This window comes from Homo sapiens, chromosome 5, assembly GCF_000001405.40.
Source record: "Homo sapiens chromosome 5, GRCh38.p14 Primary Assembly".
In the NCBI taxonomy this organism is placed as follows: Eukaryota; Metazoa; Chordata; class Mammalia; order Primates; family Hominidae; genus Homo; species Homo sapiens.
Genome location: NC_000005.10, coordinates 168277212 through 168290694, shown reverse-complemented (window position 1 = coordinate 168290694; position 13483 = coordinate 168277212). Strand labels below are relative to the sequence as shown.

Sequence of the window (13483 nt, the reverse complement as noted above, 5' to 3'; positions counted from 1 at the left end):
AAATTAGCTGGGCGTGGTGGTGCACGCCCGTAGTCCCAGCTACTCGGGAGGCTGAGGCATGAGAATCACTTCAACCTGGGAGGTGGAGGTTGCAGTGAGCCAAGATCGCACCACTGCACTCCAGCCTGGGCAACAAAGCGAGACTCTGTCTCAAATAAATAAATAAATAAATTTAAAATGTAGCATTAAATACAAAAAGCAAGCTAGCATGATTGAGTGAATGATCAACTGGCTGTTCACTTCCCCATCTCCTCTTACATCTGTGTACTGAGTGGGAATTTAACCCTTTTTTGCCCTCGGCATATGGCAGGAAGCTGGACTGGTCGAATGAAGCCCAGTTGGGTGTCTTCTCTTGCCTGAGCCCCACGGTCTTCCAGAAGAACCAGCACCCTGTGCTGTATGGACCAGGGTGTTGCTGAGCCAGAGAGGGAATCATGTTTGTGGTCTCATCTCCTCTTGACAGAAAAGACCCACCAGAGTGAGCCTCGCCTCCAAATGCCTTCTTCATAGTTAATTCCTTCCCTGAGGCCAGGCCTCGGGGCTCAGTGCTTGGCCCTCCTTCATTCCATAAATACCAGGCACCAGAGTCCAGGGACACCAGCCTCAGACTGGCCCTCAACACCCAAAAGTTGGAATTCCCCATTCCTTTATGGGGGAATTCCCACAGCCCTCTACACTTCCTCTGTTTGGGTCAAGCCTTTACTACATAAAAACCCACTATTGATTAGAGCAGTAGCCCCAAAGCAAAGCCAACCTGGTGCTAGGTTCTTTGAATACATGATCTCAATCTTCATAACAACCCTCTGGCATAGGAAAGTCTATTTATTATACCCATTTTACAGATGAGGCTCCAAGATGCTTTGTTGTTGGCCTGGGATACAGAGCTCATAAGACAGACTAGGTCTGACTCTAGTGCAGTGTTCTCAGTTATTAACCTATACTTTCTTTTTTTCTTTTTTTGAGATGGAGTCTCCCCCCATCCCCCAGGCTGGAGTGCAGTGGCATGATCTCGGCTCACTACAACCTCTGCCTCCCAGATTCAAGCAATTCTCCTGCCTCAGCTTCCAGAGTAGCTGGGATTACAGGCCTGCGCCACCACGCCCAGCTAATTTTTGTATTTTTCAGTAGAGCTGGAGTTTCACCATATTGGCCAGGCTGGTCTCGAACTCCTGACCTCAGGTGATCCGCCCACCTCAGCCTCCCAAAGTGCTGGGCTTACAGACATGAGCCACCTTGCCTGGCTGACTTTCTTTCTTTCTTTCTTTTTATTTTTGAGACGGAGTCTCGCTCTGTCACCCAGATTGGAGACTTTCTTTCTTTTTTAAATCACTCTGCAGCCTCAGAACTTCCCCATGGTTGGGATGTGGAACATGACTGATACTGACAAATGTTCATCTCTGTTGATGTTTGCTTCATAGTTTTTTGGTTGAGAAGCAAGAGCTCTAGAATCAGGCTGTTTGGGTCCCAAGCCCACCCGGTTTTCTAGCTGTGTGACCTTGGGCAGCTTGCTTCACTGAAGTCTCAGTCTTTGATTTGAAAAAAAATCACATAACAATATGGACTCCTTTGGGCTTGTGGTTAGGGCAAAGCAGGAGGAGAAATGTGAGGGCTTGGCACTCAGCAGCACGCCTTCATCTCAGGGGCTGTGGTGCGGTGCATTCGGAGCACCGTGCCTGGCAGCAGACACACCTCTATGAAATGTGGACCATTTGAAGTATTTTCTGTTCAAAACACAAATCCACGTCCTTTCCCCTTCTGAAAATTATGCCTGCTTGCTTGCAACAGTCCTCCTAATTGCTGATTTTTTTTTTTTTGGCCTTATTTTTCAACCAAGCCTTTTTACTGGTTGGCATTGATTGTGAAGAGAAAACACCTTTTAGACTGCCAAGTCCCACTTTCGTTTTAGTCCAGCCACCCAAACCCTGGCATTTTCCAAATGGCTTGCTTCTTTGGACCTTTTGACCTGGCCTGGGAAGCAAGAAAGAGAGACCAGAGCAGGAATTGACTCCTGAATTAAGGCCTAGGTCTGTTCGCTCTTTTTACCTCCCATCCACCCCCAACGAAAGAATCCCAGGTTATCTCGCAGAAGCGGCAAGCAGGGTGAGGTAATAAAACAGATGACTGCCTGCCCCATGTGATGGCGCGTGAATCATCCCGGACATTCTGCGAGGCTGAGGGCAAACGTGAAAGAGATTAAAGGTAAAACCGGCTCAGCCACATGATAGGCTGAATTGGACGTTACTCTACAGGTGACTGAACTGCAGGAATCCGAACTGAAGACAAGAAGCCCAGCCCTCTCCTGGCCACCCTCCTGGGGCTGCGTCTGGCTGCCCGCGTGTGGAGTTGAAGGAGACAGGCTTGGGCAGTGTTGGGCAGTGCAGAAGTGACCACAGGCCAAGCCTTTCTAATGACAAAGGCCACATCCCGGTGGCCCAGAGGAATCACCTGAGCCTGAGACAGGCTGTCTTGTTTTTAAAAACGATGCGCACTTGAACCCTTTTCTCCACTGCAACTGCAGGGAAGAAAGGCCGTTATCCACACGTGTTTTAGAGTGTTTCAGAGAGCCAGAGTCACATATTCCATGAAGATGGTAAAGAGGAGAAATTAAATATAAAACAAAGGAACAGATATGTTAGCAAGTCCAGTTTCCTGTTCGCATCTGCATTCTTCAGGGGAAACTGAGGCTTTGAGAACCTCTGCTGAGATTTTGCTTCCTGCTCCATGACTCTACCTCCCTACCTCATGCCGTCCCTCCCACACATCCTGGGGAATGCACAGTTATGTTCTATGATGGAGCCAATAATGTCCCCTTTCTTGAGTCATGCATTATTTGAGGTTCATAAATGTACTGTGGACTCTTTTTTTCCAATGATGGGAAAACACGTCCTAAGCCAGAGAAAATGAGGGTGGAAGAAACCTTGGTAACACGAGAGCCGAGGCAGAAGAGATGGTTTTTTATTTACCTCTCGGTCCTCCGTGCTTAATTCAGTGCTGGGAAATCAACTGAAACAAGTCTTGCACAGCCTACTCATTTTACAAACAGAGAAATGGAGTTTGTGTGAATAATGATTTACTGCCCTAGTTCCTGCTGGTTCCATTTCATAGATGAGCAAACTGAGATTCAGAGAGGCAAAGTGACTTTTCTGTAGTCATGTAGATATCAACTTAGCTGCTTCTAGTGAGTTTTTGCTTCTGGACTCCCAGTGTGGGCTTTAGAGTGCCTGTGAAGGAGAGATTTCAGGGCCATGGTCTGGTTGGGAAAGGAGGTGGGGTGGCCAGGAGACTCTCCTTAAACTCCTACTTATGTTTGGGTTGTGCGTCTATTTGGAGTGGATGGAGGAGGCCATGGAGGTTGATGAGGGCATGCTAAAACTGGTCACAGCTGAGCTGACAATGAGAGGGCAGAGTTGAGGTGGGGTTCTCAATTCTAAGAGGAGGAGATAGTGCCCTGATCCCCCATTGCCTGCCCAGTGCTGTCCACAAGACCCCCCAAGGGGATTGGTGTAGGGGATTTCACAGGCTCAGCGGTCTCTGTGGGAAGAGGGGTACTTTTCTCCCTTTGTTGCCTGTCTTTCCTCCCCACTTGTTTCCTTGCTGGTTCTTTTTATTTATTTATTTATTTATTTATTTATTTATTTATTTATTATTTTTTTTTTGAGACAGAGTGTCACTCTGTTGCCCAGGCTAGAGTGCAGTGGCGCAATCTCGGCTCACTGCAACCTCTGCCTCCTTGGTTCAAGCAATTCTCCTGCCTCAGCCTCCTGAGTAGCTGGGATTACAGGTGCCCGCCACCATGCCTAGCTAATTTTTGTTATTTTTAGTAGAGTCGAGGTTTCGCCATGTTGGCCAGGCTGGTCTCAAACTCTTAACTGAGCTGATTTCTCCTATGTGAGAGGCTGAGGCTGCCAGGAGAGGTTGAGTCCATCCTATTTCTGACTCTCTCATCAAGGGATTCTCTGGGGACTGGGAGCTGTTGTGTCTTTCACTGAAGAGGAAATGAATTATGCACCAAAGGAGGAGGTGGAGATGAAATCTCAGTTTCAAGGGTGGGGGTGTGGAGAGGAGAGAGCAAGCCCATGAGCAGAGGGCGGGAGTTCTTGCAAAGCAGTGCTTTCCTCTGTTCCTCTACTCAACAGCAGAGGCGGAGCCCTGGTGGGAGACGGGGGTGGGGGTACAAGTGCAGTCACCAGCAGACTGGCTGAAAGAAGCCTCTCTCGGTATTTATAGAGCTTGCATCGCCATGGTACCCAGGCGCTTAAATTAAACTCTAGCCCAACTGCTTGGAGATGCATGGAATGAAATGCACTTTACCTGTCCACTGTACATGGTCTCACACCTCATTCTCAGAACTTCACCACTGCAAAGATAAGCAAATGGAGTGAATTTTACAAATCACCTGGCAAGAAGGGTATAGGGTTGGGTTTATACAACAACCTGTCTCAACAGGGTGGCTGGGCAGAGTAGTAGAAAATACATGGGCAGAAAAAGCAATCCAGATCTGAAACTTGGCTCTGCATCTTGGTCAGTGTGTGACTGTCGGCATGAGACTGCATCTCTCTGAGCCTCAGTTTCCTCACCTGTAAAATGAGATCACCAACAAGAAAAATGAGAGCAACAATGCTGCCTCACTATTGACTTGTGACAACTATATGAAATGATACAAGTGAAGTGCTTTGCTCAGCTTCTGAAATGCAGAAGCTCTTTTAAATATAGGTCTCCTTCCCTGTTCAGCTGTTATTCATTTATTCCACAAGAACTTTTTTGTCTGCCTATTGTCTGCCAGACAAGTATTGAGACATAAGGGTGATTTCTGGTCCCGTGGAGCTTACAGTTTAGTAAAGTAACATGTAATAAACAAGTCAACACATGAAAAAGTAATTGCAAGTTGTTGTTAATAATATGAAGGAAGGAGCGTGCTGTGAAGAATTTGGTAGGGTGTGGATTGGTTGAGAATCTACTTTAGACTGGACCAGAGGAGAAGGCCATTCTCAGGAGGTAACACTTAAGCAGAAACCTCAAGCAGCCCACAATGCGAAGAACCAAAGAACATGCATTGCAGGGAAAGAGAATAGCAGGAGCAAAAGCCCTGAAGACAGTATGTTCAACACACCCAGGGCGCTGTTCCCATTCTGCTGAAAACCACAGGAGGCTGCTCTTGTTGGGGGCACCCAAGCTAGAAGGTGGTAGCCCTAAAATGCCACAAGATTCTCTGCCCCCAAACCCATGGCTTCCTGTACCACCATCTCCACCCTGATCCAGGTGAACAGAGTCCCTGCTCCCCAGCCCTGGCTACTCAGCTGCAGTTGCCTCAAAGGTCCAATAAAGCCTAGTAAAGGTTGGATATTTTGCTACTTTGTCTTTAGTTTTCAGATATTTAAATATGTGTCTTGGCATGGATTTCTTTGGGTTTATCTCATAGTTGGGTGGGTGGTGGGGCTCAGCTTCTTTAATCTGTAGTTTCATGCTTCCTTTCAAAGCTGGGATGTGTTTGGCCATTATTTCCTTGAATCCTTTAACAATTGCACCCTTTTGTCCTCTCTTCTGGGGCTCTCATCTTCGTTATAGTCCCATGGGATCCCGGGGCTCTGTTCATTTGTTTTCAGTCTGTTTTCTCTCCATCGTTTAGACTGGGTAATTTTGATTGTTCTGTCTTCCAGTTCATGGATTCTCTTCCCTCTGTCCCCTCTATTCTGCTCTTGAGCCCATCCATGGAGCTGTTTATTTCATTTGTTGTATTTTTCACTTCTAATATGTCTATTTGGTTCTCCTTTATGTCATGCATTTCTTTGCTGAGACTTTCTATTTCTTTGTTGAGGTTTTCTGATTTTTCATTTGTTTCAAGTGTATTCATAATTGCTCATTAAAGCATTTGATTATGGCCGCCTTAAAATCTTTGTCAGACAATTCTAACATCTCTGTCATCTCAGTGTTGGCATTTATTGCTATTTTAATTTGGTTTGAGATATCTCTGGTTCTTGGTATGATGAGTGATTTTTAATTGAAAGCTGGACATTGGCCTTTTTAGGTTGTCTGCTTCTCCAGCACTCCAGCCTGGGATATGTGAGGCAAAAAGAAAACCCAGGGAACTCACCACCATGTCATTCCTCGGAGTGCGAGGTCCCTAGCCATCTGCCTTCTTCTTTGCACTGTTCTGAGTCTTCTCATATTTGTTTTATGTATAACATCCAAGGTTTCTAGTTGAACCAGTGGGAGGAATAGGGGAAAATGTGCCTACTCCATTTTCCTGGAAGCAGAAGGTCATTGCTTACTCTGAGCCAACAGCTTTTTTCTTCAAGCTGGCTTCTTCACCCCACTTTCCCCTCCACTCTCTACCTCCCCATTTCATATTCCCTACAGATATCTAGGTAGGAATTGTCAGCATCCTCCCTTCACAGCCTCCCTTATATCTCTTCCTTCTTTTTGACATAAGCCCTAGCTCAGATCTGATTCTTTTGTCTGATACTTGGCCATTTTAATGATATCTTCACTCATCTCATAAATAATTGTATGCTTAGAAATCTTCACCCCTCCAGTGTACCTCTTCTACCTCCTCATCATCTTTCTATCTTTCTTTCTTTCTTTCTTTTTTTTTTTTTTTTTTTTTTGAGACAGCGTCTCACTGCAACCTCCGCCTCCTGGGTTCAAGCAATTCTACTCCTCAGCCTCCTGAGTAGCTGGGACTACAGGCTCATGCCACCAGGCCCGGCTAATTTTTTGTATTTTTAGTAGAGATAGGGTTTCACCATGTTAGCCAGGATGGTCTCCATCTCCTGACCTCATGATCCACCCTTCTCGGCCTCCCAAAGTGCTGGGATTACAGGCGTGAGCCACTGGGCCTGGCCACCTTCTCTTTCTTTCTTTCTGTCTGTCTGCCTGTCTTTCTTTCTTTTATTTTCTCTCTCTCTCTCTTTCTTTCTTCCTTTCTTTTTTTTTTGAGACAGAGTCTCACTCTGTCGCTCAGGATGGAGTGCAATGGTATGATCTCGGCTCACCGCAACCTCCACCTCCCGAGTTCAAGCAATTCTCCTGCCTCAACCTCCCGAGTAGCCAGAATTACAGGCGCCTGTCACTATGCCCAGCTAATTTTTGTATTTTTAGTAGAGACGGGGTTTCACCATGTTGGCCAGGATGTTCTTGAACTCCTGACCTCAGGTGATCCACCTGTCTCGGCCTCCCAGAGTGCTGGGATTAGAGGTGTGAGCCACTGCGCCCGGCCTACCTCCTCATCTTTCTAAAGCAGGCATCCACAAGTGCATTCCTCAGAGTTAAACATAGTCTGAGAGCAATTACATTGGGGAAATATTGGTTTTTATAAAGTAAATAGATTTCTTTCCTGTGGGAATTCTCAGTGCTCTCAGGGTACCTTCATCGATGGTGAGTAGCCAAGAAAACAACATAAAATACAGAATGACCCAAATTTATTTGCTTAAATATTCTTTTTCTCCCTGAGGCATCCATCTCTGGAATACAATGTTCTAAGAAGGGTGTTCACAAACTTCTGTAAATAATCAGATAAGAAATATTTTCAGGCCAGGCATGGTGGCTCACACTTGTAATCCCAGCACTTTGGGAGGCCGAGACGGGCTGATCACCTGACCAACATGGAGAAACCCCATCTCTACTAAAAATACAAAATTAGCCAGGTGTGGTGGCGCATGTCTGTAATCGCAGCTACTTGGGAGGCTGAAGCAGGAGAATCATTTCAACCCGGGAGGTGGAGGTTGCGGTGAGCCAAGATCACGCCATTGCACTCCAGCCTGGGCAATAAGAGCAAAAATCCGTCCCCCCCAAAAAAAAGAAAGAAGAAAGAAAGAAATACTTTCAGCTTTTGTGGTTTATATCGTCTCTGTCGAAACTTCTCAGCTCGGCTGCTCTAGGGTGAAAGCAGGCATAGACAATATATAAATAAGTAGATGTGATTGTTGTTGTGTGCCCATAAAACTTTATCTATAAAAACAGAACACTGGCCCTCAGGTTGTAGTTTGACCACACTTGTTCTAAAGCATCATTTTAATTAAAGAGACCTAGGTGTCTTTAATTAAATAAAGAAATCCTAGGTTTCTCCCTTTATTCCCTATGTCTATTCTAACTACGACAGCCTAGGATCCTATCTCCAAAATACATGTTACATGTATTCCCGCCACTCCATCTGCCCTTCTAGCTTCTAGCTTAGATCCAGTCCTGTACCTTATGAAGCCTCCCGCTGGACTTCCTCTGTGCACGTGCTCCATCATTCCACATGGTGCTGGGATGGTTGTTGTGAAACCTCAGTGGCTCTTCGCTGGTCTTAGGAGGAAGTGTAAGCTCCTCCCCACGTGTTGTAAGGCCCAGTGTGGGTGGCCCTGGCCCTGGCCCAGCCCTCCAGTCTCAGCTTTCATGGCTCCCCCACTCCTACTGCACAGCTGAGCTCGTGCATGTGGTTTGCACACTCAGTTCTCCTCACTTCTGGACCTGCACGTGGGCTGTTTCTCTTGCTGAGAGTACTCCTCCTCTGTGTTTAGCTGGTGAATTTTCCTTCAGGCTTCAGCTTAAGTATGACTTCCGCCCTCACTCCCAAAGTTGGTTTGCATGCCCCTGCAGCTACTTTACCTTCAGCAATCTAATCTTATTTTAGTTCCCTGGTTTTTTTTCTCTCTCTCTATTTTTCCCCAGCTATAGTGTAAACCCTGTGAGGGCAGCTTTTCGTTTTTTTTCTCCCTCCTTTCTTCTACATCTCCAATGCCCAAATAAGGTCCAGCACAGACTGGCCTTCAGAAGACATGGGCCTCCCAAAGTGCTGATCAGGGCCTAAGACTCCATTGACACCAACTTTTAACCAGTTTTCTTTCATTTAGGGAGCAGATGGCATTAATCTATTGGAATAATTGGAAACCCATATGCCCCTCTAAGAAATAAGTTGCCCATCTGTAGTGAGGGTGAGAGCTATGCAGCATCCAAGGGTCTTTTGTGGAAAGATTTTTGCTTTTTGGTTTGAGTCCAAAGGTTCTTTCTCAAAAGTCACTAAGAGCTCTAGATCTTTCTTTGCAGAGCTCTATTTTTTTTTTTTTTTTTTTTTTTGAGACTCTGTTGCCCAGGCTGGAGTGCAGTGGTGTGATCTCAGCTCACTGCCACACCTGTCTCCCGGGTTCAAGCGATTCTTGTGCCTCAGCCTCCAGAGTAGCTGGGAGTACAGGCATGTACCACCAAGCCTGGCTAATTTTTGTGCTTTTAGTAGAGGTGGGGTTTCACCATGTTGTCCAGCCTGGTCTCAAACTCCTGGCCTCAAGAGATCTGCCCACCTCTGCCTCCCAAAGTGCTGCAATTACAGGCATGAGCCACCACGCCCGGCCCAGAGGTCTGTGTCTATTAAAACATTACAGGCTGGGCATGGTGGCTCACAACTGTAACCGCAGCACTTTGGGAGGCTGAGGTGGGTGGGTTGCCTGAGGTCAGGAGTTAGAGACCAGCCTGGCCAATATGGTGAAACCCCTTCTCTACTAAAAAATTAGCCTGGCATGGTGGCAGGTGCCTGTAATCCCAGCTACTTGGGAGGCTGAGGCAGGATAGCCACTTGAACCTTGGAGGCGGAGGTTCAGTGAGCTGAGATCTTGCCACTGCTCTCCAGCCTGGGTGAACGAGCAAGACTCTGTCTCAAAGAAAAAGCCAGAAAAAAACATTAGGAAGATGCCAAATGCAATGTGGGATCCACGAGTGGATACTGGGTTACTTTTAAAAAACAAAAAGCTACAAAGTACATTCTTGGGACAACTGGGAAAATGTGACAACGGAATGCATTTTAGGTAATATTATTATGTCAGTGTTACCTATGTCAGGATTGATAGTAGTATGGCAGTTCTATTAGGGGAATAAACCTTCTTAGGAGATATACACTGAAGCATTTAGGAATAAAGTGTCATGATGTCTGCAAATTACATTCAAATGGTTCAGAAACCATTTTGAGTATTTCAGAGGGAAGGAGGGAGGGAGAGAGTATAATGTGGCAAAAATGTTAACAACTGGTAATATGGGTGGATATTTTGTCCTCTCCAAATCTCATATTGAAATATGACCTCCAGTGCTGGAGGTGGGCCTAGCGGGTGGTATTTGGCTCATGGGGATGATCCTTCATGAATGTCTTGGAGCTGTCCTCCTGTAATAAGTGAGTTCTCACTCTGTTAGTTTACGTGAGATCTGGTTGTTTTTATTTTATTTTATTTTTATTGTTTGAGATGGAGTCTCGCTCTGTCACCCAGGCTGGAGAGCAGCAGCAGAGTCTTGGTTTACTGCAAACTTCACCTCCCGGGTCCAAGCGATTCTCCTGCCTCAGCCTCCCCAGTAGCTGGGATTACAGGCATGCACCACCATACCCAGATAATTTTTATATTTTAGTATAAAATATATTTCATCATGTTGGCCAGGCTGGTCTCAAACTCCTGACCTCAAGTGATCTGCCAACCTTGGCCTCCCAAAGTGCTGGGATTATAGGCGTGAGCCACTGAGCCCAGCCTTGGTTGTTTAAAAAAGCCTGGCACTTCCACCTGTTCCCTGACTCTCTCTCTTGCTCACTCTCCCCATATGATATGCCAGCTCCCCTTTTGCCTTCTGCCATGATTGAAAGCTTCCTGAGGCCTCAGCAGAAGCCAAGCAGATACCAGCACCATGCTGCTTGTACAGCCTGCAGAACTGTGAGCCAAGTAAGCCTCTTTTCTTTATAAATTACCCAGCCTCAGGTTTTTGTTTTTTGTTTTGTTTTTTGACAGAATCTTGCTCTGTCACTGGGCTGGAGTACAGTGGTGTGATCTCAGCTCACTGCAACCTCCACCTCCTGGGTTCAAGCGATTCTCCTGCCTCAGCCTCCCAAGTAGCTGGGACTACGGGTGCGTGCCACCAAACCCAGCTAATTTTTGTATTTTTAGTAGAGATGGGGTTTCACCATGTTGGCCAGGTTGGTCTCTAGATCTCTTGACCTCGTGATCTGCCCACCTCGGCCTCCCAAAGTGCTGGGATTACAGGCGTGAGCCACCATGCCTGGTCAGGTATTTCTTTATAGCAGTGCAAGTGGACTAACACAACTGGTAAATAATGATAAAAAAGGTCCTGTATTTGATATTTTACTCAACCTTCATCTCCCTTATCACAGTGTCTCACATGGAATATACCTCAATGAATGTTGGCTGAACTACAACAACAATTAGCAAATTGCCTAAAAATGTGCATTGAATTGCTTAAGATGCTCTATTGACTTCCTATCTTTTAACTTCTGATATGGGGGCTTTGAGCAGCTTTATAACCAAAGGGCCCAGCAAACAGCTATCTCTTTCCTATTGAGCCATATGGCTTGAGTTCCAAATACATTTATAGAGCTTATATTTCAAATCGCTTAACATTTTTACAGTAAAAGTCTCTATAAAGGAAAACAAAGGTAGGAGAGAAACATGGTATATTCCAAGTGAGGTAAAATAAATCTGGGTTTGATGTCACTATGGGTCATAATTTCTGTCCTGATCCAAAATAAGGATGGACACACTCTCCTGTTTGTCCTCCTAAACAACTCCCATGATGTCCCTGCAAGAACTCAGCTGCAGGTGGCTGCTGTCCACCCCATCATCCAGCTCAAGGACCAACATTTCCTGGAAGACCAAAGACCTGCACCTGCATGGAATAGCAGGAGTTCATGGGCAAGCAGAGCCCTTTACCTGACCTCAGTCTCTTGGTGTCTTCTGTTTCCATTTTATCATGATCCAAGAGACTCTTGCATTTGGCAGACCTTAAAGCAGTGGGATGGACTTTAGAGATTAGCCTGCCCTCTGACATGAGCTGTGGGCCAGAGGATGGGACTTGATAGAGTGAGCATTTAATGGGTTTGATCACTTCTGTAACCACGGGCTTCTCTCTGGGGCAGCAATGAGGCAATAATGTAATGAGTGGCGGATGACTGAGCACTTACTCTCCACTGTGCACTGATGGAGCACTCACCCTATACCATGCACCAAGGTGGCGCTTCCCACATCCAGTACTCATTCCAGACTTTAAAGTTAAGGAATCTTGGGGATGCAGACCCAGGCCAGCCTGGCATTAAAATCCAGGCTTCAGGCTGGGCGTGGTGGCTCATGCCTGTAATCCCAGCACTTTGGGAGGCTGAGGAGGGCGGGTCACTTGAGCTCAGGAGTTTGAGACCAGCCTGGGCAACATAGTGAGACTGTCTCTACAAAAAATACAAAAAATTGCGAGGCACAGTGGCTCATGCCTGTAATCCCAGCACTTTGGGAGCCCGAGGTGGGTGGATCACTTGAGGTCAGGAGTTTGAGACTAGCCTGGCCAACATGGTGAAACTCCGTCTCTACTAAAAATACAAAAATTAGCCGGGCATGGTGGCAGGCACCTGTAATCCCAGCTACTTAGGAGGCTGAGGCAGGAGAATCGCTTGAACCCAGGAGGTGGCGGTTGCAGTGAGCCAAGATTGCGCCACTGCACTCCAGCCTCAGTGACGGAGTGAGACTCCATCTCAAAAAAACAAAAAATTTAGCTGGGCATAGTGGTGGGAAACTCAAGTGGGAGGATGGCTTGAGCCCAGGAAGCGGAGGTTGCAGTGAGCCGAGATTGTGCCACTGCACTCCAGCCTGGGTGACAGAGTGAGACTCTGTCAAAAAAAAAAAAAAAAATCCAGGCTGCAGAGTAGCAGGTGTAACAGAACCGTGCCACACCCCTGGGAATATGGAAGACTCCAGTGGCATATGCAGATCTTGCCTCTGAGTGTTTAGTGAAGTTCTAGATTAATTTAAAAGGTAATCAGGAGTACTTCTGTTATTCTGACTGAGCACTTACTCTCAGTCAGTAAAAGTCAATGCCCATGCTCCGCTCCACCACCTCAGAGGAGAAACTAATTTCCAGTCAGCAAGTTAACAAGTAACATGGTTGCCTCCAAGGTGGGGCAAGGTTCGCCTGTGTGCTTGCTGTCAGTGAGTGTCCAGATTGGGCAGGGGAATGACTGGAGGAGGTAAGAAGCAAATCGGCCGGCACTTGGAAGCACACAGTGTGGACACGGTCCACTGCCTGGAGTTTGTTCAGCAAAGTCCTCCCACTGGCAGCGTGGCCAGGAACTCCCTTCTTCCAGGTGGTGGGGAAGCTTGCCATCTGTGCAGCCTCCTCTGGAGGAGAGTGAGCTGGGGCTCAGATCATAAATGGAGCTTCCGAGCCAGAAAGGTGGCAAATGGGATGAATTCATTTGTTGAGGCTGAGGCCACCCAGTTCTTGCATCCAGGGTCCCTGGCTTGTCCCTTTAGAACACATGAGGAGGTCAGGTGGAGCCAGCGTGAGCTTGAAGTTGGGAGATGGGCTGCATGCGAGTCTAGCACCTGGTACAATGAGTGTACATCTCAGACTCCCAGTCAGTATTTGAGGAATGAACGAATGCACGTTGTGAACTCTGAAGGGTTATGGAAAGGTGAGCAGCAGAGTGTGGAGGCCCTAACTGTGTAGAGGATTTGAGTGTGTAGAAAATTTG

The 13483-nt window shown here is 46.7% G+C and overlaps 1 annotated feature.

Moving 5' to 3' along the window:
* Window positions 422-501: an enhancer, noted in NCBI's record as "active region_23588". NCBI's record gives its function as "activates an Ori minimal core promoter by ATAC-STARR-seq in GM12878 lymphoblastoid cells {active_cell/tissue: GM12878}" and the evidence as "EXISTENCE:reporter gene assay evidence [ECO:0000049][PMID:35858748]".